Genomic DNA, 26,177 nt, shown 5'->3' on the forward strand with positions numbered 1-26,177 from the left:
ATTTCTTAGCAAAGGAAAAGAGGTTCAAGGGTGAGATTTTAAAACCTCCCTTTGCTAGTAGTTTTTCTAAAGTTTCTGGTAGAATTAATCCCTAAGCAGAGCGGTCAGTGAGAGTGGGCTCTGAATTCTGGCTGAGGCATAGGCTGCTGTATGTTTCATGAGATCGGCCTCCCAGCTTGGTTTTGGGCCTGCCTGACTTGGAAGGGATTTGTGGGAGAAGTCCATTTTGAAAAATGAGGATAGTAGACCTTTGATTTGGGGAAACCCTGCTGAGGAAACTGTATTAGTCATCACTGAATGAGCTTCTGATGTCTATGTTCTCTCTCTGGAGGGTGGTGGGATGATTAAGGGTATTTTCACTGTAGGAAGGAGGATAGAACGTTGTATGTATTTTTTGGTTTCTCCCATTTCCTGTCAAATAACCCCTTAGTCTTTTGTATGTGGTCAAGCTGTGTTGTCAGGACAGTTGAAGAAATCTGTGCCCAGAAGCGTCCAGATCCTCTATTCTAGCTCCACGCCTCATCTGAGAATCTCTCCTTTCTCTCTGCAACAGTTACGTGACATCTCCTATTCGAACTTAAATCCGCTTAATAAAATCATGGCGATTACTTATTTTGTGACAGGTACTTGTGCTAGGTGTTGAGCCCAAAGTAGTGGCACAGACCTAATCCCTGTCCTCAAGTAACTTACCAATGATTCACAATCTATTTGTTTAACAGTGTAAGAGGGGGCAGCTCCGAGTGGATTACTTTATGACTCCCTACCTCAGAGAAGATTATAGTCCAGAATTTTAATGCTCTCATTCAGGGCTGATGATGATGCAGAGGCATAAATAAAAGGAAACACTAGTTTGCGATTGGATGGGGGAGAAAAGGGAGGAAAGTCATGTGAGGAGGGAGGGAGCTTGTTGTGAAGCTGGGAAATGGAAGGGTGGAAACCATATCTAGGATGGCTTTCTGGAAAAATAGTTGCAAAAATTTTCATCACCACGGAGTCCTGTTCTTATTCCTATGCCCATGGATGCATGTTTTGAAATACATTGTCTCTCAAAAAAGCGGCATGCATTAAACATTCAGTAATTTTCTGACCAACAGAGTTAAACAGGTTGCCTATTTAGAGTTTATCTTGTCCTCATTCAAACAAGGAATCTTGGCGTTTTCATTAGCCCATGCAGTAATACTGAAGATGAATGAGTGTACAATTTCTGTTAAGCTTTTTGAAATATTGCAAATAGCTCATGTACCCCCATTTCTGCAATGAAAACCTTACCTGAGACGATTGCTGCAGGGCCATTTGTTCATGTAGTTCAATTTTCACTTAAGCTTTGAAAGTTTACACGTTAGGACCGTGTAGGTACAGAACCCAGGGCCTATGACTTTATTGGCTCAGGATATTTGTTAATTGACATTAAAGTATTAAGTATCAAAATTGAAATAATTGCTTAAGTATTTAGAAAATGAACAGTATATTAGCTAGTCAACTACAACTCAACAGTTTTGCAGTTGTATTTACGTTGTATTTATTTGGGGAGGTTTTTTCTTTTTAATATCTTTGACACATGATATGAAATGGGGCCTTCAAAAGTCACCTTGTTTAGAGCCTGCTTTTTTGTCTAAAGAGCTCCAAGAAAGGAGATTGAGTGGTATAATTTAAGATCTAAAAGCAGATGACCCTGTTCTTCCTGGAAAGTAGACTGGAGATGCAGGTCCCTTGGGCAAGACATATCTGCTATCTCCTATTCTATTGTGTGGATAAGCCATCATTTATATAATAGGATCCCTGATGTGGGGATATTTATCTTGCTTGTTACATTTGGGTATTATACGTAATACAATATTGCTATAAATAGCTGCACACAGTGCAAGAACCTTGCAACCAAAAAGACATGGGAGCAGATCCAGCTCCATTGCCTACAGTTCTGTGGCTCTGGACAAGTTGCATAAAGCTTTAGATTTCCTCATTTGTAACATGGGAAGAACCAGCGTAGCAGATCTATAAGGTTATTCTGTGAATTAAATGAGGTGGCTCATGTAAAGCACTTATCATAATGGCTGGCATATATTAAGTGCTCAATAAATATTGAATGATAATAATCATTAGAATGAATCTTATTTTGTATCTTAAAATGGGGTAATACTTATCCCCGGGGTTCTTGTCAAGACTCATTGAGATATTGAACACAAAGCACACAGCCCATTGCCCAGCACATAGTAAGAATTCAACAAATTTAGTTTTGTTTTTTATCTATTTTTTTGCACCTCATAAATTTTTCCTGTTTTGAAGAACAAAATACTAAAGTGGAGCCTATCTGAGGCACATCTTCATAAGTGTCTCCAACCAGCCTTTATTCATTGGCATTAAGATATTGAACATGCAGACTTTAGGAGGCTTAATTTTTTCTGCTCTGGCCTGCAGGTTGGAGGTTTCACTACATTTTAATAAAAACCCTTGCAAAGCAACTTACAGATCTAAATAAAAACAATGTTTTGCTTATTTAGCTGGTTTCATAGTTGTGCCTTTTAAAAGAATGTTAGCCCATGTTACTTTGCAGTGCTTTTCTGTCCATTTAGTAATGTTGGCAACAGTGATCCAGCTTGCGAGCCCCAAGGTTACATCTATAGCCCCAGCATGGGACGGGAGACCTGCTGGGTGTGGGGAAGAAGGAGAGCCATTCCCACAGTAGCCTGACACCCCTGAACACAGGGCTTCCTGGGTGTACATCCCTGGGATGTATCCACTCAGTCCCCTGTGGACATGATTCTTTAGGATTGCAGCCTGACTTTCATTTCTTTCCAATGGAGAAAGAGTTCTATTTTCATTGTTACATATGTGATTATGAACATTTCCAACAAAACATAGCAAATAAAATTATCCCTTTAACCTCACATCTGTCCCTCCTCCCTCCCACTCAGTGATATCATTGTTAATGGTTTGCCATGCATTTTTTCCAGACTTTCTGGACATAGAAAATAAATTTTCAAAAAAAAAAGGTGTATATTACATATGGTACTCTGTAGTCTCTTTTTTTCTGAACATATTTAGGATATTTTTCCAGGTCAAGATCTATCTACCTTCTCCTCCATTGTGTGAATAAACTGTCATGTACATAATAGGATTCCTGATTTGACCACATTTATCTTGCTTGCTGCGTTTAGGTATTATAAACAATGCAATATGCTACAAGCAGCTGTGCACACAACTGTTTGTCTTATGATGTTCTTTGGACAGATTTACAGAATGATTTACCATCTGCAAAGTGCTGCCACATCCATTCATTTATGTGATCCAAAGAGGTGGAGGCAGAGGCAGTCACAAGCCTGGACTTGAGTCAGGCAGGCCTGGGCTGGAACTTGGATTAGCAGACCACAGCCAAGCACTTCACTCATCTCTAAATCTGGAATTGTAGAAGTCTTTCTCCCATTTTATATGTGCTTGCAGGATTCCTTAAGTTAATGTCTGTAAAATACTTAGAAAAGTACATGCCACATATTAAAAACTCAAAAGATATTAGCTCTCAGTGTTGGAATTAGCTATGGTTCCTCAAAACAATTCTGATATTGTGGATGCCAATGCATCCAAAATACAGATGAAGAAACTTGAGGCTCAGAGGGGCAAGATGTGTCAAGGTCAATGACCAACAAGGAAAGAGAATAGTTAATGGCAACTTCATTAGTCTCTGTGCAAGGAGAGACTTTTGCAGAGAGTTTTTCATAATATTGAAAGAAGTTGCCAGAGAAGTTGGAGAGGGCCTAAAGCACCATTCCGTTGTGCCATCGACACCACACTTCTGATCATGGAAGGAGCATGCAATTAGGCAGAAATGAGCTTAGGTTCAGGTTGGGCCATCTGTGAATGGAACATTCTTGGGCAAGTTACTAAATCTCTCTAATTCGTGTGTTGTGTATCTGGGATTTCAGTGGAGTTTTATAAACAGTTAAATGAGATTATGTCAAGTCTATATGCACAGTTGCTGGCATATAATAAGACCTTGAAACTTGTGTTAACAGCAGTGTCAGAATTAGAACCCACATCTTCTTTTCCTTTTTATTGCATCCTTCTGCCACCAACTCCAACCCTTGTCTTCTAGTGAAGGCTAATACAAAGTGCAAGACATGTGTGACAACATGAAAGCATTGCCCAAGTCCCGCCTGGCACATGGGGTGGGGACACTCACCCAGTGGGTGGGGAGAAGCAGAGATGATGGGATAGAGCAGTGCCACCCACCCTGCCTTGTTTACCCTGCCTCCCCTTCGCTGAGCTGTCTCTGTCCCTGGCTGCCTCTGAAGCTTGCTTCACGCAATGAGATGTCAATGCAGTAAAATCTTTCAGGATGGAAACCAGTTCAAACAGGAAGAAAGAAGACAGCACTAAACCTAGAACTCATGCAAAAATCACATTCCCTCTAAGGGCCAGAGAGAGAGAGGGTGACTGTACTGTAGATGATATCTGTTACTATTTTTCAAAGTTAGATATTTTCTTTCTAGGTGTTTGTGGTAGTTTCAAGATAAGAAAGAAATGGAAAAGACCTCTTCCATAGAACACAGAATGGACAAAACAGTAGCAGCCATAGATTGCTGCTGTTTTCACTGTAAGAATATACATTCTTTCTCTTTTGCTTAAAAAAAAAATGTAGGCCTTTGGATTTCACTCTGTAGCTGTGACCTTGTGATCTTCATCTTAGCACTGAAAAGGCCTAAAGACAAAGCAGGCAGAGGAGGTGAGATTGTCCTTGGCATAAACACAGGGCCAAGGCTGCCTGTGTGCTGGACTGGAGGAAGCAGTGGCCCCCTCAATGTTCAGCAGAATAGGTCCTTCATTCTAGCTCTGATGACATTTCCTGTCACACAACACTGGTCATATTACCTTGTGCAAACCCCATCCTAAAGCTGAAGTTTTTCTTTCTGTAAAATGGATTGCACTGTCACTATTTTTGAAACCTTAGACATTTACATGACACAATCATATTTTTAAAAGTGTATCACTATCAGGTATATGTTTAATATATTTAACAAAATCACCTCACTTCTAAATATTCAAACATGAAAAGTTTAGGGCAGAATTCCCTGTAAAGATGGTAAATTAAAATAGGTACATATTTTTCCTCCCTCTTGAAAACCTCCTGAAAAAATAGAATTTCTTTGAAAGAAAGGTAGGAATCATACGGAAAGTTAGTACATGACATAGCAGACCTGAGAAAAGTATTTCATAAGCCAGCAGTGGAGGACCCTGAGGACTCATCCAATCTAAAACAAAGTTTCCGGAAATGGTAGTACCAGGTGCCCCTGCAAGTCAGGGTGAAGGAAAGGAAGGAGCTCAAATAAGGAGGATCAGCTGAGAGCCTGTTCCAGAAGCAGTCTGACTCCATGGGGCTGAGTTATTGAAGGTGTATTCAATAAAGAAGAAAAAAACAGAAGACATCTGGCCTAGGAGATGCCAGACGAAAGTGTGGGCAGTGATACCTTACTCAAAAGCAGGTTTCAATCAAAGTGTGCATCCTGGAGGCTAAAACCTCCAGCACTTTCCTCCCGTTCATCTCCTAGCGCACTGGTGGCCAGGCCTTCACACATCATGCAGGGATCAGACAATTCTTATTTGTGAAATCCTAGCAGTCCAAGAAGAAAGACTTGCATATATTGATATTGGCATCTCTCCAACTAAATGTCCCAACCAGATTACCCTGCAGTAAGCTCACAGGCCACAAGCCCTACTCACATGCTCAGTCAGTGCTCTCCAGCTAAATGTCCCAACCAGGTCACCCTGCAGTAAGCTCACAGACCACAAGCCCTACTCACATGCTCAGTCAGTGCTCTCCAGCTAAATGTCCCAACCAGATCACCCTGCAATAAGCTCACAGACCACAAGTCCTACTCACATGCTCAGTCAGTGCTCTCCAGCTAAATGTCCCAACCAGGTCACCCTGCAGTAAGCTCACAGACCACAAGCCCTACTCACATGCTCAGTCAGTGCTCTCCAGCTAAATGTCCCAACCAGGTCACCCTGCAGTAAGCTCACAGACCACAAGTCCTACTCACATGCTCAGTCAGTGCTCTCCAGCTAAATGTCCCAACCAGATCACCCTGTAGTAAGCTCACAGACCACAAGTCCTACTCACATGCTCAGTCAGTGCTCTCCAGCTAAATGTCCCAACCAGGTCACCCTGCAGTAAGCTCACAGACCACAAGCCCTACTCACATGCTCAGTCAGTGCTCTCCAGCTAAATGTCCCAACCAGATCACCCTGTAGTAAGCTCACAGACCACAAGTCCTACTCACATGCTCAGTCAGTGCTCTCCAGCTAAATGTCCCAACCAGGTCACCCTGCAGTAAGCTCACAGACCACAAGCCCTACTCACATGCTCAGTCAGTGCTCTCCAGCTAAATGTCCCAACCAGATCACCCTGTAGTAAGCTCACAGACCACAAGTCCTACTCACATGTTCAGTCAGTGCTCTCCAGCTAAATGTCCCAACCAGATCACCCTGCAATAAGCTCACAGACCACAAGCCCTACTCACATGCTCAGTCGGTGATCACCTTAGCATCACACACAATGAAATGAGAACATAGCCCCAAGGATTAAAGAGAACTAAGGAACAATGCTCACATAGAAGAGAGAGTGAAAACAAGCAAACAGAAGCAAATCTACTTGGAGGACACAGACTCTGTGAGGCAAAGCAAACTTTAGAAAAGAGGCAGAGAGAACTTAGAAAAATAGCAGAAGAGACCATTGTAAATTGGGAGATAGTACTTAAAAAAACTAAACATTCAGAGAATGAAAAGGAATCTTGGATTTTTCCAAATTGCTTTTTTTTTGGTGGGGGGGTGGCATGAAATGAGGAGTGTGCAAGAAATGGGAATCCATCATAGTTTACAACTTGGATGAGAATGGCATTTGCATATTCAAAATATTTTAAGTAATAAATATTGATCAAAGCAAAATTATACCGTAAGTGTATGGGAGGGAGGAGAAATGGGAAGGATGCATGTGCCTCATGGGACAGTGGGAGGAAAGAGTGAAATGCCTGGTTTTTTTTTTTTTTTTTTTGAGACTGCTCTGTTGCCTAGGCTGGAGTGCAATAGTGCAATCTCGACTCACTGCAACCTCTGCCTCCTGGGATCTACCTATTCTCCTGCCTCAGCCTTCCAAGTAGCTGGGACTACAGGCATGCGCCATCATGCCTGGCTAATTTTTATATTTTTAGTAGAGACGGGGTTTCACCATGTTGGCCAGGCTGGTCTCGAACTCCTGAGCTCAGATGATCTGCCCGCCTCAGCCTCCCAAAGTGCTGGGATTACAGGCATGAGTCAGCGGGCCTGGCCAAAATGCTTGTTTTCTATGGTGGACAGTTAATAGACAATGCCAAAAGTGAAAAGAAATGTTTAAAAAAGAAGTACCAAAGCATATTATTGGCATCATGTTCATAAATGCCAAAATAACAATTACAACAGCTTAAAGAGGTACAAAAGTTCCTCTGGCAAGGGGATCATGAGAGACTGCTGTATTTCGTTTGTTTGGGGGTTTGGATTTTTTTTTTTCTTTTTTGAGACAGGGTCTCACTCCCTGTTGCCCAGGCTGGAGTGCAGTGGTATAATCACAGCTCACTGCAACCTCAACTTTCTGGGCTCAAGCCTGCCTCAGCCTCCCCGATAGCTGGGACTACAAGTGTGCACCACCATGCCAGGCTAATTTTTGATATTTTTAGTAGAGATGGGATTTCGCCCTGTTGCCCAGGCTGATCTTGAACTCATGGGCTCATGCAATCTTCCCGCCTGGGTCTCCCAAAGTGCTGGGGTTATAGGCATGAGCCACTGTGCCCAGCTTGTTTTGTTTTTAAATGAAGCTTGAAGAATTTTTTGAACTATATACACTTATAACTTTGATAAAAATAAAATTTCATATCAAAACTGTAAGTAGCATCATTTGTGTAAAAGTAGATTTCTCAAATTATTAAAAATATTATCCTATGCAATTAGACACTGAGCACATCAAAGTTTCATTTAACTGGTAAACCAGGGAACAAGCTGAACAACAACAACCTGGTTCAAAAGTATTCAGGCTTCTTGATATTTTGTGAGAGAAGAGATACTTGTATAAAATTATCATTAGGTATAAAACAGGTAAATTTTCTCCAGAGTAATAAAACTATGAGTTTTAACAAAGCAGCAAACATCACATTTTATCATTTTTCTGCAAGTTAACTACTAACTCTGCAAGGTTATAACATTTCTAGTTTCTAATCAGTTGTGGATGGTTAATCCAAACAAAGTTATATTCCTGAGAGGGTAAAAGGACCTTCCGTGTGGTTTTTCCAAATGTTCTATTAAAAATGTCATGCCATCCTCATTTTGCTTTATTTCCAAGTTTTGGAGCTTTTTCTTGCACACTTGCCATAAATATGACCAACTTCAAAAAATAAACACAATAAAAACAAAACAATGTCATTAAGTTCTAAGTAGATACTGTTTGCTGCCTGCTCTGACCTGAAGATTTTCCTCTTTGTTAGAAAAGGTGTTTTTACAAGAACTAGAGAGGTATTAAAGACATATAATCACCAAAACGAGATTTCTCTACTTGGTATCATGAAAAGTGTTGAAAGAAAAATGAAAAAAAAAGGCCACATTTTTTATATAATTTGGTTTAGTGTTATGAAATGCTTTGTCTATTGTTACTTAAAATATTCTCATATTTGGTGTGCTTTCTTATTCTAGAAACCCTACAGGAGATCAGTAGTTTTGCACTGCATTCTGAAAAGTCCTAGGAGTGGCCTAGGGTCAAGAGTGAGTCAGGAAGAGAGGGCTTGGCTCCCTTAGCCCCGACCCTGCCTAGTCCCCATCCACTCCCAGCTCACCTTCTGCTGTGTTATGTAGTGAGCTCTGCATAAGACTTCATTTGAAGTCCCTTCCAGATACCAGAGCCTATAATTATTAAAAGAAAAAAAAATCACTACAATTTGCAGTGTGTTTAGGTTGGATGGATTAATTTCTTTGCCAAGGCCATAATGGGAAGACTGATTTTGTCATTTCAATTACAAGCTACCGTTTAGTTTGAGCCCAGAAGTCACTTTCCTAGAGTCTCCCTCCACTTGCCTGGCACTGGAGCAATTAACAGTGGGTGATTTGTGGCTGCACTTTTACTGCTTAGCACAGGTTTATCATCTTGAAAGTTTTCCATTTGCATATATGCTATACATTCTTTGGGTGACATTTAGATATCACCCAGAGTTTAGATTATGCATTGCCTTGTACTGCACTTTCTGCTACGTGCTGGCAATCTGCAAGCCCAACCAGAGAGCTGATGCAAACCAAGGGGAACGTGAGTTGCAGCCACCACTTACTGAGGGCTTACTATATACCAACCCCCAGTATCAAAGACTTTACCTGCATTACCTTGTTTATTCCTCAAACCAGTAACTTTGAGGTTACTATTATTTGCCACATTTTATAAACAAAGAAACAGAAACTCAGAGAGGAAAAGCAATTTGCCCAAGGTCACCCAGCTCAAATGAGCAGAATTGGGATTCAAACTCAAGTATCTCTAATCTCAAAACACTCTGCTATGCAACCTCCCAATACTGGGAGCTTTCAGAGTGAAATGAATTGAATTTGACAGTTTTCTACTTTTAAATACCAAACTTCCTGAGCAGTCTAATTGCTGCTCTTTGGAACAAGAAGAAATGGCTATTTAAAAGAAGCAAGGGGCAGGAGGTCAAGAAAGTGGGTTTTAATATCTCTATTCACAAGGGAAGAGATGTAATCCTGGAAAAAAAATAGCATCAAAATGAAAACCATTATATAAATTTGATGAAATTGCAAAGGAATGCAGAAAATATAAGGGAGGGGGAATACATAGCATTGAAGATTTTATAAAAGGCAGAGAAAAGATCAAAAGTCACTGAAGGAGGTAGAAGTTGGTCCAATTGAAGGCAGGGTCTATCCATCTTGACAGATGGAAGGTGGATGATGAAACCCCCCAAGCAGCCACCAGAAATCTCTGATCGTGTTCCAGTCTGCATGGGTGAGTTTGGATAAGGAGAATACTCTGGAGACAGGCTGCTGGGTTGAATCCTTTCTCCCTTCCTCACTGGGTGACCCTGGATGAATTACTTAACCACTCTGGCTTCAGTTTCTTCATCTGAACAATGGAGAGAGTAATGTTGCTCGTCTTGATGTGAGACGATATAAAGTGCTTAGCAGAGTACCGGGCATTTAGGAAGCACTAAAGACTGTCAGCTGTGGTTGTTGCTATAACCATGAACATCATGTTCACGTAGTACAAGAAATAGGAGACTGTAAGTCAGCAAAATGGCTTGGAGAAATAAAGGAGAAGGAAATCAGGAGAGAGGTTCATCTTTGGGCCAGAAATATGGGGAGATCTGTCTTCCCTGGCCTTGAGTGTCAGGAGTAGAAAGGGCTGGTTGGTGGGGAGAGACCAGCAAGTCTCCAGCAGAGACTGAAGTCTGGCTGCGCTTGATGAAGCAGGGGAACTTGTTTCTGTAAAATAAATGCTCTAACAAAAGCTCCAGTGGCAGAGGTTCTGTTGGTGGCTCCACAGGGCTAGAGAGTCTGGGAGTAGCCAAAGTAACAAATAAGTGAGTCTAAGGCAGAGAAAGAAAGCTCTGGGTTATTCATCTCCGGATGCCAAAAGCCACTGAAAGTCATTGGGGCAGGGGGAGGACATTTTTTAGTAAGCACATCTTCTTTCTTTTTCTGGCCCTACCCCAACTGCAAATCTACTTCTCTCTCACTGTATAACCAACTCCCTGCAATTCCTTACATTAAGTGACAAAACCACACTTAAGTTTAATGCGGTAAAGCTTGCTGGAGTACTTGTAAATGAGCATGGGTGGTCATCCACGTTTTCAGCCACTATCGATTTAGCACTTTCTTTGTGTCAGGCTCTGGCTAGGTTCTGGAGACACAAGGCTGTTCCCAAACCCCCATCTCCAGAGCTAAACAGCATGTCACATCATGGTTCTTAGCCATCAGAATAACACACCTAAAATTCAGAAATTGCTGACGCTCAGGCTCTGTTTCAGACTACAAAATCTCCAGCAGAGGACCCAGGCATGTAAGTTCTTCCAGAATTGCACATGTCATTTTTAGGTCCACATCGACCTTGAGAGAACCTTCTACATTTTTGTAGATGAGAGAATTGAGGCTCAGAGAAGTGATAAGTGAGGTTGCACACCTGGCAAATACAGCATTGAACTTCAGACCCAGAGCTTCTGAAGTTAAGATTCCTAGGCCTTTCCACTTGGCCATGGCCACCCTCGCGTATGCATGGTGTGCAACTCTGTGCCTAAATGCTATGCTGGTAAAATGCTCCAAGATATAGATGAATATGCTTGAAACCCTTGCCGACTACAACAAAAGCTCAAAAAGGATCGGCAAATCCTACAGAAAGTTTAGGGACCTGTATTTAAAGTAGCCAGAACCCAATACCTGTTACAACCTGACTCACTGTAAATTTCCACCCAAGGTGGGTAATGTGGCTTCTATTATACAAGCACCATGTGGTTACCATTATGTAACCCTAGTTTCCATTATATAACCCTAGTCCCGGGGCTCCAGAAACACTGCCTCCTCAATTTGTCCCTCCAGCCTCCAAGTGACAGTGGCTTCCTGCTGTGGCTGACTCTAGGTTACCTTGTTTGGTGTGTTGGCATTTCCGTTACCTGTATAACCAATTCCCTGCATTAAATTTCCTCCTTATTCCAGCTCAGATCCTGACTATTAGATGAAGAAACCAAGGATTAGAAAAGTTAATATAACTGTATTGGTCTGTTCTTGCGCTGCTATAAAGAAATACCTGAGACTGGGTAATTTTTAAAGAAAAAAGGTTTAATTGGTTCCTGATTCCACAGGCTGTACAGGAAGTGTGATGCTGGCATCTGCTAGGCTTCTGGGGAGGCCTCGGGACACTTTTACTCACGGTAGAAGGCAAGGCACGAGCAGGCGTCTTCACGTAGCCAGAGCTGGAGGAAGAGAAAGAGGGGAGAAGTTGCCACACACTTTTAAACAAACAGATCTCATGAGAACTCACTATCGTGATGACAGCACCAAGGGAGATGGTGTTAAACCATGAGAATCCACTCCCATGATCCAATTGCCTTCTACGAGGCCCCACCTCCAACACTGGGGATTATGATTTGACCTGAGATTTCGCCGGGGACACAGATCCAAACCATATAATAACTTAACCAATGCAGTACTAATTATTGTCAGAGCTAGTATTCTAGCTCCAAAGTTCCTGATTCCAAAGCCTAAGTTAAGCCATCTTAACTTATATTTCAGGTGACTAGTGGAATTTTTTATGCCCAGTGTAGGTGGTAATGACGATGGAGATATGGCGATGATGATGATGATGATGATGATGATGATGATGATGATGGCAGTAGTGGTGGTGGTGTTGGTGATGGTGTTGAAGATCACCATGTCTGACCACTGTTGTCTGTGTCCTTTGTACAATTGTTCAGATGCAGTGTCCTGGTTGTCACATAGATGTCTCTGACTGTTTTACAGGCCTTCACCTACCACCATATCCAGGAGATCATGGTCCAGCTGCTGCGGACAGTGAACCGGACAGTCATCACCATGGGCCGGGATCACATTCTGATTGTGAGTGGATTATTTCTTCTTGTCAAATGTTGCAAGCTCTTCAGCATCTAAAAATGGATTTTCTGAAAAGGCAGATCACATTGAACTCCCAGCATTGATCATTGCTTTGTTTTGGAGTAGGGTGACCAGATTTTTCCTGTCTGAGTTGGGAGGACTTGAGAATTAACTCAAGTTGTTGAAATAAAACAGGGCTTAGGACTTGTCTAGTTGAGTGTACCAGCGCTAAATTGAGCATACCAGCAAGGGTGGACTATCACTGCTGAAGACAGAGAAGGGAGAGCAGCTTTTGTAAGTAAACAAGGTGGAACATTCCAGATGCATGTCCACTAGGAACCTTTTCCTCTGGCCTACAGTCACATGGTGCCCAGTCTCAGGGTCCTGTGAGCTTGGTTTCCTAAGGGGCTTCATTGCGTGTTAATTCTGCCCATAGATGCTGGTTATTCAAGGTCATTACTACATATTGAGCTATTCTTCTGCATAAACAGTATGTTCTGAAGATCAGGAAATTTCTGCCCCGTCATCTGATTATTTTTCTTCTCCCGACACAGAACCCAGCTCGAACCCTTTAACCTCTGCCCATCGTGCTTTAAACCAAGGACCCAAAATTCAAATGCTTTCAGGGGCCAGTCACCAACATAAATGAGTATGCCCAACCATGTCACTCCTCTGCTGAAACCTGCCAATGGTTGTCCATCTCACTCAGAATAAAATCCAAACATTGCCAGGCCTGAAATGCCTTTGCCCCATGCTTATTTATTTATGTGTTCCTCCCACATATAAAACATGATAGATGTGCTGTTTCCCTTTTTTTGAGTCTGATATCACCTAAGCATAGAGGCTTGCCTTCTCTGATCACCCTGTCTACAATTCCCAGTACCTCTCCATCCACTAAAAGTCATACCTTACTTCTTTATTTTTCTAATTACGTATAATCGGAAATATACATTATCTTATTTGGTTATTGTCTAGCTATCCTCATGAGAATATGAGCTCCAGGAAAGTAAGCATGTTTTTCTGTTTTGTCATTGCTGTGTCTCTAGGTCGTATAACAGCACTTGGCATATAGCAGGTGCTCAGTAAATACGTTTGAATGAATAAATGCATGACATGTGCCAGGCAGGGACTCTAATGTTTAAAAAAGGATGAGGGCTACTCAGCCTTGACTGATTGATACCATGTGGGATTGGACCATATAGTTGCTAGGATTCCCAATATTTCAAGAGAAACTGAAAATTTCCATGTTTTGTATGAAATTTTCTGATATTTCAGTGTTGGCAGTTTATTTTAAAAAATAATGTTTATAAACACTTTGTGACTCCCAAACAGCTGGATTCCCTTCAGAAAGCCACCCTGACATTCCTGCTTTACACAGTGGTGACATCCGTGGAGAGCATCAGTGGTGCCAGATACTCTTGCTTTTTTGGGCCAGAGAGCCATGTAAACTGGTCTTTGTCATTTGTCTTACTTACCATCCTTCCACCTTTGAAGTATCACATTTTTCTTTTTTGTTTTGTTTTGTTTGAGAGACAGAGTCTCACTCTGTCGCCCAGGCTGGAGTACAGTGGTGTGATCTCGGCTCACTGCAACCTCCACCTCCTGGGTTCAAGTGATTGTCTGGCCTCAGCTTCCCAAGTAGCTGGGACTACCAGCGTGTGCCACCATGCCCAGCTAATTTTTGTATTTTTAGTAGAGGCAGGGTTTTACTACATGTTGACCAGGCTGGTCTTGAACTCCTGACCTCAAGTGAAGCATTTTATAACCTCCTTTATCTTTATTCCTTCTCTTTAGAGTAAACCTAAAGATGATCATCAGTCCATTTGGCTCATTCTGTACGTAGCAGGCTTTTAACTCCCTTTCCTGTAGAACAGTGATTCTTTTAAATGGGGCCTGTGTCATAAGAAGCACTAAATAAGTGCTGTATATTATTATTTTGCTTTCTATCTGGTAGAGTGAGGCTCTCTGTCTTTTGCATTATCAACATAGGCAAGTAACTACTCAGTACTGCCAGTCCTATGAGCCTTTTGTTTGATGGCTTTTGTGGCTGGCTCTTCTAACACACATCCCTCACTGTTGCCCCATCAATCTTTACCAGGACACTCCCCTACTCTGGAATGGTCAGTAGCTCCCTGCTGCCTACCAAATGAAGTCATAAATGCATTAGCCCAATCATTTTCAGCTTCTGTGATCTGATCTGGTCACAACCACATTTTTCAGTCTTTTCATCAACTTTTTTCCATCCAAATATCCAGCCAAAATGGATGTCTGGATATTGCCCAAACATGCTGGCACTGTCTTACATGCAGGCTTAGCCTCTGCCTCTTTCTTTGCCTGAAATTCCTTCTTGTACCTTTCAACATGTTGAAATCCTACCTAGTTTTCCAGGTCCAGCACAAATGTACGAAGCTGCTCTAGCTGTGACCGCTCCCTCTTCTAAATCACCAAGCTCTCTTTACCTTTTTTTTAAAAGCAGTTTTTCCTGGCTAACACGGTGAAACCCCGTCTCTACTAAAATACAAAAAATTAGCCAGGTGTGGTGGCAGGTGCCTGTAGTCCCAGCTACTCGGGAGGCTGAGGCAGGAGAATGGCATGAACCCGGGAGGCAGAGGTTGCAGTGAACCAAGATCGCGCCACTGCACTCCAGCCTGGGTGATAGAGTGAGACTCCGTCTCAAAATAAACAAATAAACAAATAAATAAAAACAGTTTTATTGAAGTATAGTTTATACACTTTAAAATTTAACCATTGAAAGTGTTCAGTTTGACGAGTTTTAGAAAATTTATAGTTATGCAACCATCACCGTAATTCAGTTTAGAGTATTTCTTTTACTCTCCAAAGTTCCATTTGCAGTCACTTTCTTTCCCTCCTCTCACCAACCCTAAGCAACCATTAATCTACTTTTCATCTCCATAGATTACCTTTTCTGGAAAATTTTATATAAATGAAATCATACAATTCAAGGTCATTTGTGTCTGTCTTCTTTCCTTAGCATAATGTTTTTGAGGTTTGTCCATATTTTAGGATATATCAGTACTTCATTTCTTTTCATTGCTGAATAATAGTGCATTATATGAGCATGCCAACTTTTGTTTATCCAGTCACTAGTGGATGGATATTTGGATTGTTTTTAACATTTGACTATTATAAATAATACTGCTTTGAACATTCACAAACAAGTGTTGTATGAATGTGTTTTGACTTCTCTTGGGTAGAAATCTAGGAGTGGAATTGCTGGGGCATATGGGAACTGTATGTTTAACTTTAGAAGAAACTGCCAAACTATTTTCCATAGTAGCCATAATGAGAAAAACCTGGAATTATATATTTTTAAAAGCATTCCCTGAAACTAGGAGGGAGCAAAGAGATTAAACAATGACTTGGATGAGTCCAGCTTGACCAGTAGATGAGTTTATTATGACTTACATACGAAGTACTCCTGGATGCTGGCAGGACAGCTTTAGAGATCAGCACAACCTCCCATCCCTAAGCTGCTTTTAAGCTAATTTTCTGGTGCTTTGCCTACTGTGTGTGCGTGATGGGGCTGTTTTCCTTGGTAGATTCTCAGCTACCCTCTGGGATGTTCAGGTTATCAGGGACACCTGCTTCTAAGCTGGGCACCTTGGCCTTGGCTCACCGCCCAGCCTTTAAAGACAAGCAGCGGACATGCACTCCTAAGTAACCCGGTGGGTGACCCATCACACTACGTGGCTGTACCACTTCACATTCCCCCCAGCAATGTTTGAGGTTTTGTTTACCCACATCCCCACCAAGTCTTATTATTGTCAGCCCTTTGGATTATAACTGTCCTAGTGGTATTTCACTGTGGTTTTAATTTTCCTTTCCCCAATGATGAATGATATTGATCACATTTTCATGTGCTCTGCCTCTTTTTTTTTTTTGAGTCATTTTTATCTATGAACTTGTCACAGCTCCTCTCTTAGACTGTAAGAGTTTAAGGCTTGTGCCTATTTGTGAAATAAATGGAGTAATAATAGATCTTCCTCATAGAGATCCTGTGTGAATTAAATCGTATAATACAGGATAAGCATTTGTACATGTGCTTCTTATGCACTGTATTCATTTATTTATTCCTTTAGCAGTTTATGAGAACCTCTTAGATACTCAGCACAAAGACTCAGAAATGAGTTAGGCATGGTCTGTGCCCTGGAGAAAATCAGACCTCTTCTGATGTGATGTCTCTCAGGAATCTCAAATGCACTGCACCCCAAACTCAACTCATTGCCAGGTCCCTGAAGCCCACTCCACACTCCACCTGAATTCGGGATCTCAGTTTATGGGACTGCCATCCTAGATCTCAAGCTGCCCTTGCCCCTCCCTCTCTGTCACCTGCCTGCCACTTCCATTCACCCACCAAGTCCTGCTGCTTTTGGCCCACCTGTCCCCACTCCCTCCCCACTTGGGCTGGACAAGCTACCCTGCCTCTGTCCCTTGCCCTGTGTTCTCCGAGGCCCTGTGCATACTTAGGTCACTGTGCCCATTGTGCTTATGACATTGTAAGGCAATTCTCTATTTGTAGGCTCTCCCCACATTTAGTGGACCCCCCGAGGTCAGGCACCCTGTTTTACTCTTTTATCCTCAACACCCAGCAGGGTGCCTGGCGTGCAGTGGGTACCCAAGTTTGTTGAGCAAATGAAGGCACTAATGAAATGAAGTGAGTGAATAAGTGAAATAATCCCTGAAAATGCTGTCATTTCTTACCTTCATATTCTTGAATGTGCTTTCCCCTCAGATTGCTCTTCCTTATTCAACAAATGTGTTTTCTAAATGTGGGAATCCACATTTCAGGGAGTAAGGAATTGCCTGTTCAGACTTTCTGGCTCATCCCTGAAGCCTTGCAAAGGTTGTAAGTTGCAAGCTGTGTCATTAGTCTCAATGACTTTGGAGTTTGCTAGTGTAATTACAATGCTAAGAGTGCTGAGAGGGGAGAGCCAGAGGCCTGCGGCAAGCATACTTCACTAGGAGCAGAAATGTACCTGAAATAGAAGGAAGCAACAAACAGGGTTTTCTTAAGATATAGTTTCATTTTCATAAAATGAGCCTTTCCAGCAATTCCTAGAATAGAAATATCTCCTCCAAATTAAAGAAAATGATGTTGGAAAGTAGTTACTCAGGGGTCAAGGGTCCCTGTCTTAGCACTGAAGGCCCCAATCTAATTTTGAATTGAAATTTGACAAGGAGGAGAGATCCCCATTCCACCTGTCACTTTTAATTTTCCAGATGTGATTTTTTTGGTTAGTTTCCATTGCTTGGGAATATTAATCAATATTTGTGGTAAACACCATAAATGTCAAGTACTTTTGAAATCCCAGGAGGGCCCCAAGTGGGTATAGGATGGCTGGTTGCAACTCTCATTCTTATACGGGATTAGTGACAGTTTTTTTCTTCTTTTCAGGGATAGGAACATTGCAGTAAAAGGTTTTAGCCACTAAAATCACAGGAACCATGGGGCTAGGATGGATTTCTTGTTGGGCTTAGGGCTTTGCGATGACCATTCCTGATTTTTCTATAGATCAATTCCCTGAGCAATGAATTGTTGGTGACAAATGAGCAAAAGGGAATTTTGCAAAAATAAAAAGCAAATGACTTTTACATGACTAGTACCCTTTCATCCTCTCTTTGCCACAGTCTAATTTGTCAGGTAACTTCTTGTTTACTTAAGTCCTAAGGAATTTAGCTTTTGTGGTGAGAAAGGGAGCATGGTTTGATAGAAAGTGTATATATATATATACACACACATATACACACACACACACATATATACACACATATATGTACATATATACACACACATATATATATATACACACACACATATATATACATACAGATATATGCTTTTATTTCAATACGTTTGGAGTACAAGTGGTTTTTTGTTACATGGATGAATTATATAGTGGTGAATTCTGAGATTTTAGTGCACCCATCACATGAGTAGTGTGCATTGTACCTAATATGTTGTTTTTTTATTCCTAGCCCCCCTTCCACCCTCCCCCTTCTGAGTCTCCAAGGTCCATTACGTTACTCTGTATGCCTTTGCATACTCATGGCTTAGCTCCCACTTATAAGTAAGAACATGCTGTTTTTGGTTTTCCACTCCTGTGTTACTTCACTTAGAATAATGGCCTCCAGCTCCATCCAAGTTGTGGCAAAAGACATTATTTCATTCCTTTTAATGGCTGAGTAGTGTTCCATGGTGCATATATCCCACATTATCTACTCATTAGCTGATGGGCACTTAGGTTGGTTCCACATGTTGGCAATTGCGATTTGTGCTGCTATAAACATACATGTGCGAGTGTCTTTTTCACATAATGACTTCTTTCCCTTTGGGTAGATACCCAGTATTGAGATTGCTAGATTGAATGGTAGATCTACTTTTGGCTCTGTAAGGAATTCCTATACTGTTTGCCACAGAGATTGTACTAATTTGCATTCCCACCAGCAGTGTATAAATGTTCTCTTTTCCCAACATTCATGCCAACATCGATTGTTTTTTAACTTTTTAATAATGGCCATTCTTGCAGGAGTAAGGTGGTATCTTATTGTGGTTTTAATTTGCATTTTCCTGATGATTAGTGATGTTGATAATTTAGATAGAATATTCTCCCTTATCTGGGAGAACAGGAAAAAAATTCTACATTCTTTCTGCAGATAATTGGCTAGTGACTTTATGCCAATTTAATCTCTCTAGACCTTGTTTTTTTAATGCAATAAACTATACCATATTTGAAATCTTCTTCTTATATCTGAGTTTCCTGACTTGGCTGACAATTCCTATTCTCTTTTTCTATCTCCCAAGCTCCTGAATCAGAGACCTAAAATAGATTTTGCTCAAGTGCCAGCCCTGGCTGATTGGGGATGGCTGCCTGTAGAACTGTGTTGAGGAGGATGCAGAAGCTACACATTGGCTCAGTGGGAAGAACTTGGGAATTGATTAGTGCTGTCTGTCATGGCATGAGATTGGAGAACAGTGATGTATGCAAGATACTTGCAAATATTATGTATTTACTGCAACCGTTGGTGTTTTTCTGGCCCAGTCCAAAAACTCTTGTATAAACAAGATTCTCTTGCACATATTCTTGCTTCCTTTAAAAAAGCTGTGGTATAAAAGCAGAAGAGTAATGGAAAAAACCGTCTTGGAGAGCCTGCCTTTCCTGGGGAACAATTTCCTCAGGCTACATGCCGTATTTTATCAAATTTAAGATACTCCATGATTTTATGTGCCCATAAGAAAGAAAACTTGCTGCCAATTATAATGTGACACAGATTGTAATCTTCAGAGAGGTTAAAATATATTTTTTGAAAAGTTTGACTCAAAATGCCTACTGTGTAATGGATTGCACCTTGAGCCCTCACACACAGGTAGGCAATATTGCTATCTCCTGTTGTTTGGGGGAACAGATTGAGCAGCAGAGGATGAAAGCATCATGCCTAAAGTTACACTGCTGGTAGGAATAAGCAGGATGTGAACCAGGGACACCAGAGTGCGTATGTCTCCAGTCATCTGTGCTCCCTTCCAGGAAGATATTGTCCTGTCTCACAGGTCTTGGAGCAGCTTGAGGAAAAATGTCCAGGCTTGTTTGTGCGTGGTGAGGGTGTGCCTCAAGAACCCTCCCTGGCTGATGCATCCTGTTACTGACTGCTCTAGAGAGGGCTGTCCCGTCTCCTGCCACCCCAGTGATGGGGATGAACAATCCCATAGGGAGAATCAACCAGGGAACTTGAACACTGCCAGAAGTTCTTGGAAGGAAAACAATCTGGTGATTTTGTTGAAATTGGGATCTAGCCTTTATTTTGGGTAGTTAAAATAAGCCTCTGGGTGATATATTTTGGGCCTAATTACCCCGGTTTTCACAGAGGAGGCTATTGAGTGATTAAGTAAAGGTAAATGCTTGGCATCATAGCAGCTCCAGAAATTCAGAGCAGTTTGTTCAAAAAGAAAAAAGAAGGAAATTGGAAGTCACCTTTTCCTCTGCTGCTTCACCTCATAATAGTGCTGGAGACTCCAGGAGGCATCTGTGTCATCAGAGACTGGGCTTCAAAGCTCTGACTTCACTTTTCACTCCTGGGACACCAAATTGGAAATGACCCATCTAAGCAACTACTCTGAGCCAGACCATGAGCCCAGAGACTGAGTCAAGGACTGCAGCAGGACAGTAGCAACTCCTCCCAACCCCAGTCCGTGGCAAGCAGGAGGGAGGACAGTCTAGGATACGAGGAGGTGTGGTTCTCAGCCAGGAGTGGTTAGTTGGCTCTTGGCCTTCACTCAGCACCCCTGTACCTTGTTGAAAAGTAATATTTATAATAAAGCTATCATTTAATGGCACAGGCACCCTGTATGCTAGGCAAATAGCTAAGCACCTGGTGTGTTTTACCTTACTTCACCTGCATCAGGTGCTCATATTTTACTGAGATAACTGAGACACAGGGAGGTCATGCAACTGGCCCATAACCACACAGCTTGTTAGTGGAAGAACTAGGATCTGAACCCAGGGAGTACTGTTTTGGAGTCGCTGCCCTTAAATAGTGTATTGTACACTCCTAAGCGATGAATAACTAAGGTTAGTCTTTAGGAATCAAACATTTTAAGGATAATAATTGAGCACTTTGAACTCAGTTGCCGCCTTGCCTAGATCATGGAATCTAATGAGATCACCTATGTGGCAACTTTCAGAAACATAAAATGGCACAGAATTTTTGGTGGTTTTATGATGACAATGATATGTTTAGGATTGATCTCCTAAATTCTGGTAATTAAACCACAAAAACTCTAAACTTAGAAAGAGAACTTTTTCTTTATGTGAGTGTTGGTACTTATGAAATAGCAGGCTTAACAGAAGAGGACAAGGCTGGCATGGAGTTTGCAAAGGGTTCTGGAGGCAAAGTGTCCTTCTCCTTCTCCTTCTGCCTTTAGCTCATCTCCAGGCACGGTTCATCTTGGTCCCTAAAGACCTTTCAACTCTAAATGCTTCCTTCCCATTGAGATCGCTAGCCTGAGTCTAGCCACAACCACCTCTTACGGTTGTCCTTGGCCTGCAGGACAGTGTCAATGAACACCTGCTAAATGAATGAAAGATGTTTACTGTCTACTTTTATTTCCACACAAACCATCATTCTTTTTCTCAATATGCAAGTGTTATTACTGTTAGCTTTATGTCATGATTAGATGCCGAGAGTAAGGGTTGTTGCAGAATAACTGGATTGAGTGGAAGACAAGACTGGGGGTGGGGAGCGGAAGCATCCCCTCCACAGAATGCACTGTCGGTATTAACAGTTCACATTTATGGACCGTTTATGTGACCAAGATGGTACCAAGCACTTTAAGGGCATTCTCTAATTTAGTCAGTGAGGTTGGCAATAATTACTGTCTCATCTCAAAGAGGAAATGGCCATTAGAGAGCTTGAACGCCTTCCCAGCATTGCAAGCCTGGGAAGGAGGAAGCTAGGATTTGTATCCCATCCGAGTCTGCCAGGGCTCAAAGCCCATCTTCTTAAGCAGCTCACTGTATGTGTCTAGGAACTTGTTTTCCTGAGGTAAAATTAATTTAATTGAGAAAATTCCTGAAAGTGTATGTGCAAGGGTATGTTTGTGTCATATATATGTGTACCTGTTTGTGTGTATGTGTATGTGTGTTAAGGGGAGATCAGGGAAAGAATCAAGTTAAGAAAGAAAATAGTAAAAAAAATTAGACAAGAGACTTGAAATGACAGTTTGTAGCCAAAAGGTGGCATTGTGAGCTTGGGGTAGCTTGGTTGCAGCTTAATATGGTAATATGGATGGTGTGCAAGTTTTCTGGAGGCGGAAGCATTGCCTTAATAAGGACTTTGGTGAACACATATCAGGGCATACTAGGCCTAAAATATATATACAAAACATAGATTCATATCTCAATTTTCAAAGGACCTGTAGCATGTCTGGACGGAAGTCATTTATCAAGGTAGACTTCACGGAACTGGAACTGGGTCTTGAATGCCACGAAAAACTTTAATGGCTGGAGAGGAAGGCTTGGTGCATTTTAAGTGGGAGGAGCATTTCTTGCCCTATGCCTTCTTGCAGTCTGCGAAACTCTCGTCATTCTGCTAGGCCATCTTTCCGGTTGTTCGTTGTCCTTGTTTCAGTTACAACATTACCACATGTATTGGAATTTTCTCTTTACCTATCTGTGCTCCACAGTAAAGTGAGACCCATGTGGGAAGGGACCACTTCCTTTTATCTTTCCATTCATCCTTCCATCCGTGGTGTGTAGCAGGCACTCAATTCAAGCTATGGCAGTAAATTAATGGAAAGAACAAACTAATTGAAGGAACAAATTAATGACAAGCTTTACAAAGTTCAATTTAAAAAATAATGTGAATAAAGTTTTGTTTCATGCCAATCTTTCCTGTAAAGATTTTTTAAAATATAAAATTCCCAAATACCTTACTAGCTCTGGGTGACAGAATTTTTTCAGGCAAACTAAAATATGACAGCTGGAGCATAAAAGAGCATGCTTCATTCTCCAAATCTTTCTTCCATCCCATGATTAGCTGCTGCAGAAATGAGAATTAAGAGGGAATATGAGGTTCCTTGATTTGTTAAGATAGCTACTGCATTCTCCCTGCTGTGTCCAATGGAGCAGACCTTTGCTATGGGTAGGGAGTGCTCCTAGATAATGATGATGATGTCACTGCTGCCATTGCTGTTGCTGCTGCTGCTGTTGCCATGAAAGTTTCACTTGACTCAGTACATATGTGTATTAGTCTGTTTTCACACTGCTATAAAGAACTGCCCAAGATTGAGTAATTTATAAAGGAAAGAGATTTAATTGACTCACAGTTTCTCATGGCTGGGGAGAGCTTAGGAAACTTACAATCATGGTGGAAGGGGAAGCAGGGAGGTTTTACACGGTGGCAGGAGAGAGGGAGAGAGAGAAGGGGGAAGAGCCCCTTTATAAAACCATCAGATCTCATGAGAAGTCACTCACTAGCATGAGAACAGCCTGGGGAAAACTACCCCCATGATCCAATCACCTCCCACCAGGTCCCTCCCTCAACACATGGGGATTATGGGGATTACAATTCGAGATGAGATTTGGGTGGGGACACAGCAAAACCATATCACCATGCCTCGTGTTTCTGCAGAGTAGGTAAATTCAGGCCCTGGGGAAGCTGGTGCCAAAGCTGGGGCCTTCATTGGCCACATAGGGACTGCAGCTGTCAGCACAGAGAGAGAGAGGGAAAGAGAGAGAAATAGAGTTTGGAAATTGTTCAGCAAGAGCTGGGAAATGCAGTCACACAGAAGAATGACTGGTCCATCATCAAATCCTAATGAAATTACCTCCAAATATCTCGGTGCCTTTCAGCTTCTGTTAGTGGAGCTGGACAAATCTGATTTGAGACAAGTAATTTTAAGCGTGTTCTTAAAGGTAAGACTCCACTGTATCTCTTGTCCTATTTCCTGGCAGTGGAAGAGGGGCCAGCTTTTTCTTGTCCTTGGAGAACTTGAGAAACAGCGTATCTGCCATTTGGGCGTTGGCTGAGTACCTCCATCCCTGACATTGCTTTCCAAGTGCTGTGGAACTGGGGACAAGCTATGTGGTTTGAAAGGAGTTGACAGGCTGGGAGCCAGTGTCCTCCTTTCCTCAAGAAGGGAGGAGGTCTCCTCATTCCACAGCTAGAAAGTCTCTTCACAGTGCAGATCCCCATTTTGCTTCTCTGTAAAGTGGGGCTAGTAATGGTCATTACCTGCCAAGCTTGTGGTGAAGACTGAATAAAAACATGTTTGAAGCTCACTTCACAAGGCTTAACACATAGTAGGCCCTTGGTTAATAATAGCCATTATTATTCCTCTTGTGGGCTCCTCTCCCTGCTTTGACACAAGTGTCAGGAATAAGATTACAAATTATTTTACAGGCCTGCCTTTCAATCTTTCCTGCATTTGTGAAGTAATGTTCAGCTGTTGCTATGGCTGGGCTGTGAAGAAAGCCTCTGTGAAATACAATAAGGCACACTGTGTCTGCTGTGAAGGCCTGGAACACACATTGGAAGGAGAAATCCTATCATGAGTGTCCTTCCCTGGGGGTGTTGTTGAGGGTCTGACAATTCCTGATATGGTTTGGCTGTGTCCCCACCCAAATCTCATCTTGAATTCCCATGTGTTGTGGGAGGGACCTGGTAGGAGGTAATTGAATCAGCCAGGCAGGTCTTTTCCATGCTGTTTTCATGGTAGTGAATAAGTCTCATGAGATCTGATGGCTTTAAAAAGGGGAGTTTCCCTGCACAAGTGCTCTTTTGTCTGCCACCATGTGAGATGTGCCTTTTATCTTCCACCATGATTGGGAGGACTCCCCAGCCAAGTGGAACTGTAAGTCCAATAGGCCTCTTTGTTTTGTACATTGTCCAGTCTCAGGTATGTGTTTCTTAGCAGCAGGAAAATGGACTAATCCACTGCCCCTGGGAAAATCCTGTTGGAACAACTGCTAATGAAATAGGCTTTCTCACAAATCTCAGGCCCATCGCCCCCGTCCAGGGCACTGGCTTTAAGTGACTCAAAGGAATCAATTCTGTCAAATGATCCTTCAAAATCAAAACCCATTTTTCCAGATTTATGTTACATTCATGCAGTGATGCATTTGTGTAGCCATTAAATGATATTTATGATGATTTTTAACAACACAAGACTATTCTGTGAATTCTATGTAGAGAGAGGGTTGCAGGAATGAAGCAGCAACGACAACAACAATAATAACAATAAAGTCATCAAGGAAACTGAAGTTCAAGGAGGGGAAAGAAATATGGCCCCTCACCAGAGGGCTTCGATCTCCCAGAGCTCAGAACATGTTCTAAGGCTCACATTGTGTTAGCATCTTCTGCTTAAAGGGAACATGACTTGCATATTTCTGGAGTTTTACTTTTAAAACAATTTCACTTTCCTTCTATAATCAGGAAAAACAACTTTTTTTTTTTTTTTTTTTTTTTTTTTTTTTTTTTTTTTTTTTTTGTGGTAGACAGAGTCTCATTCTGTCACCCAGGCTGGAGTGCAGTGGTGCAATCTCGGCTCACTGCAAGCTCTGCCTCCCGGGTTCACACCATTCTCCTGCCTCAGCCTCCCGAGTAGCTGGGACTACAGGCGCCCACCACCATGCTGGGCTAATTTTTTGTGTTATTAGTAGAGATGGGGTTTCACCATGGTCTCAATCTCCTGACCTCGTGATCCGCCCACCTCGGCCTCCCAAAGTGCTGGGATTACAGGTGTGAGCCACTGCACCCAGCCAAAAACAACTTTGACACTATTTCTTTAAAAATAGGAATTAAGGGGACAGTCAAACTTACTGAAACATTTTTTTTTTTTTTTGAGACAAAGTCTCACTGTGTTGCCCAGGCTGGAGTGCAGTGGCATGATCTCAGTTCACTGCAACCTCCACCTCCCAGGTTCAAGGGATTCTTGAGCCTCAGCCTCCTTAGTAAGTGGGATTACAGGTACCCACCACCATGCCCTACTAATTTTTGTATTTTAGTAGAGACGGGGTTTCACCACATTGGCCAGGCTGGCCTTGAACTCCTGA

At 41.9% G+C, this 26,177-nt stretch overlaps 1 protein-coding gene across 8 annotated transcripts in view, besides 2 other annotated features; it reads left to right on the plus strand.

The window, feature by feature from the left end:
• DOCK2 (dedicator of cytokinesis 2) overlaps positions 1-26,177 on the plus strand; it is a 446,108-nt gene that overhangs the window by 190,963 nt on the left and 228,968 nt on the right. For 6 of the 8 annotated variants that reach the window (NR_156756.1, NM_004946.3, XM_011534449.3 and 3 more), the window contains exon 27: positions 12,520-12,615. Coding sequence is in view for 7 of the 8 variants with exons in the window: in NM_004946.3 (NP_004937.1) it covers positions 12,520-12,615 (96 nt within the window). In the remaining variant the exon portion in view is untranslated. Of the gene's footprint in view, positions 1-12,519; positions 12,616-13,163; positions 13,349-19,432; positions 23,431-26,177 lie in introns of those variants that run through there. The other 2 variants (XM_011534448.3, XM_005265830.5) reach the window with 2 other exon arrangements.
• Positions 6,535-6,704: an enhancer, noted in NCBI's record as "active region_23602". NCBI's record gives its function as "activates an Ori minimal core promoter by ATAC-STARR-seq in GM12878 lymphoblastoid cells {active_cell/tissue: GM12878}" and the evidence as "EXISTENCE:reporter gene assay evidence [ECO:0000049][PMID:35858748]".
• Positions 10,478-10,547: an enhancer, noted in NCBI's record as "active region_23603". NCBI's record gives its function as "activates an Ori minimal core promoter by ATAC-STARR-seq in GM12878 lymphoblastoid cells {active_cell/tissue: GM12878}" and the evidence as "EXISTENCE:reporter gene assay evidence [ECO:0000049][PMID:35858748]".

Source organism: Homo sapiens, chromosome 5 (genome assembly GCF_000001405.40).
Source record: "Homo sapiens chromosome 5, GRCh38.p14 Primary Assembly".
NCBI lineage: Eukaryota > Metazoa > Chordata > Mammalia > Primates > Hominidae > Homo > Homo sapiens.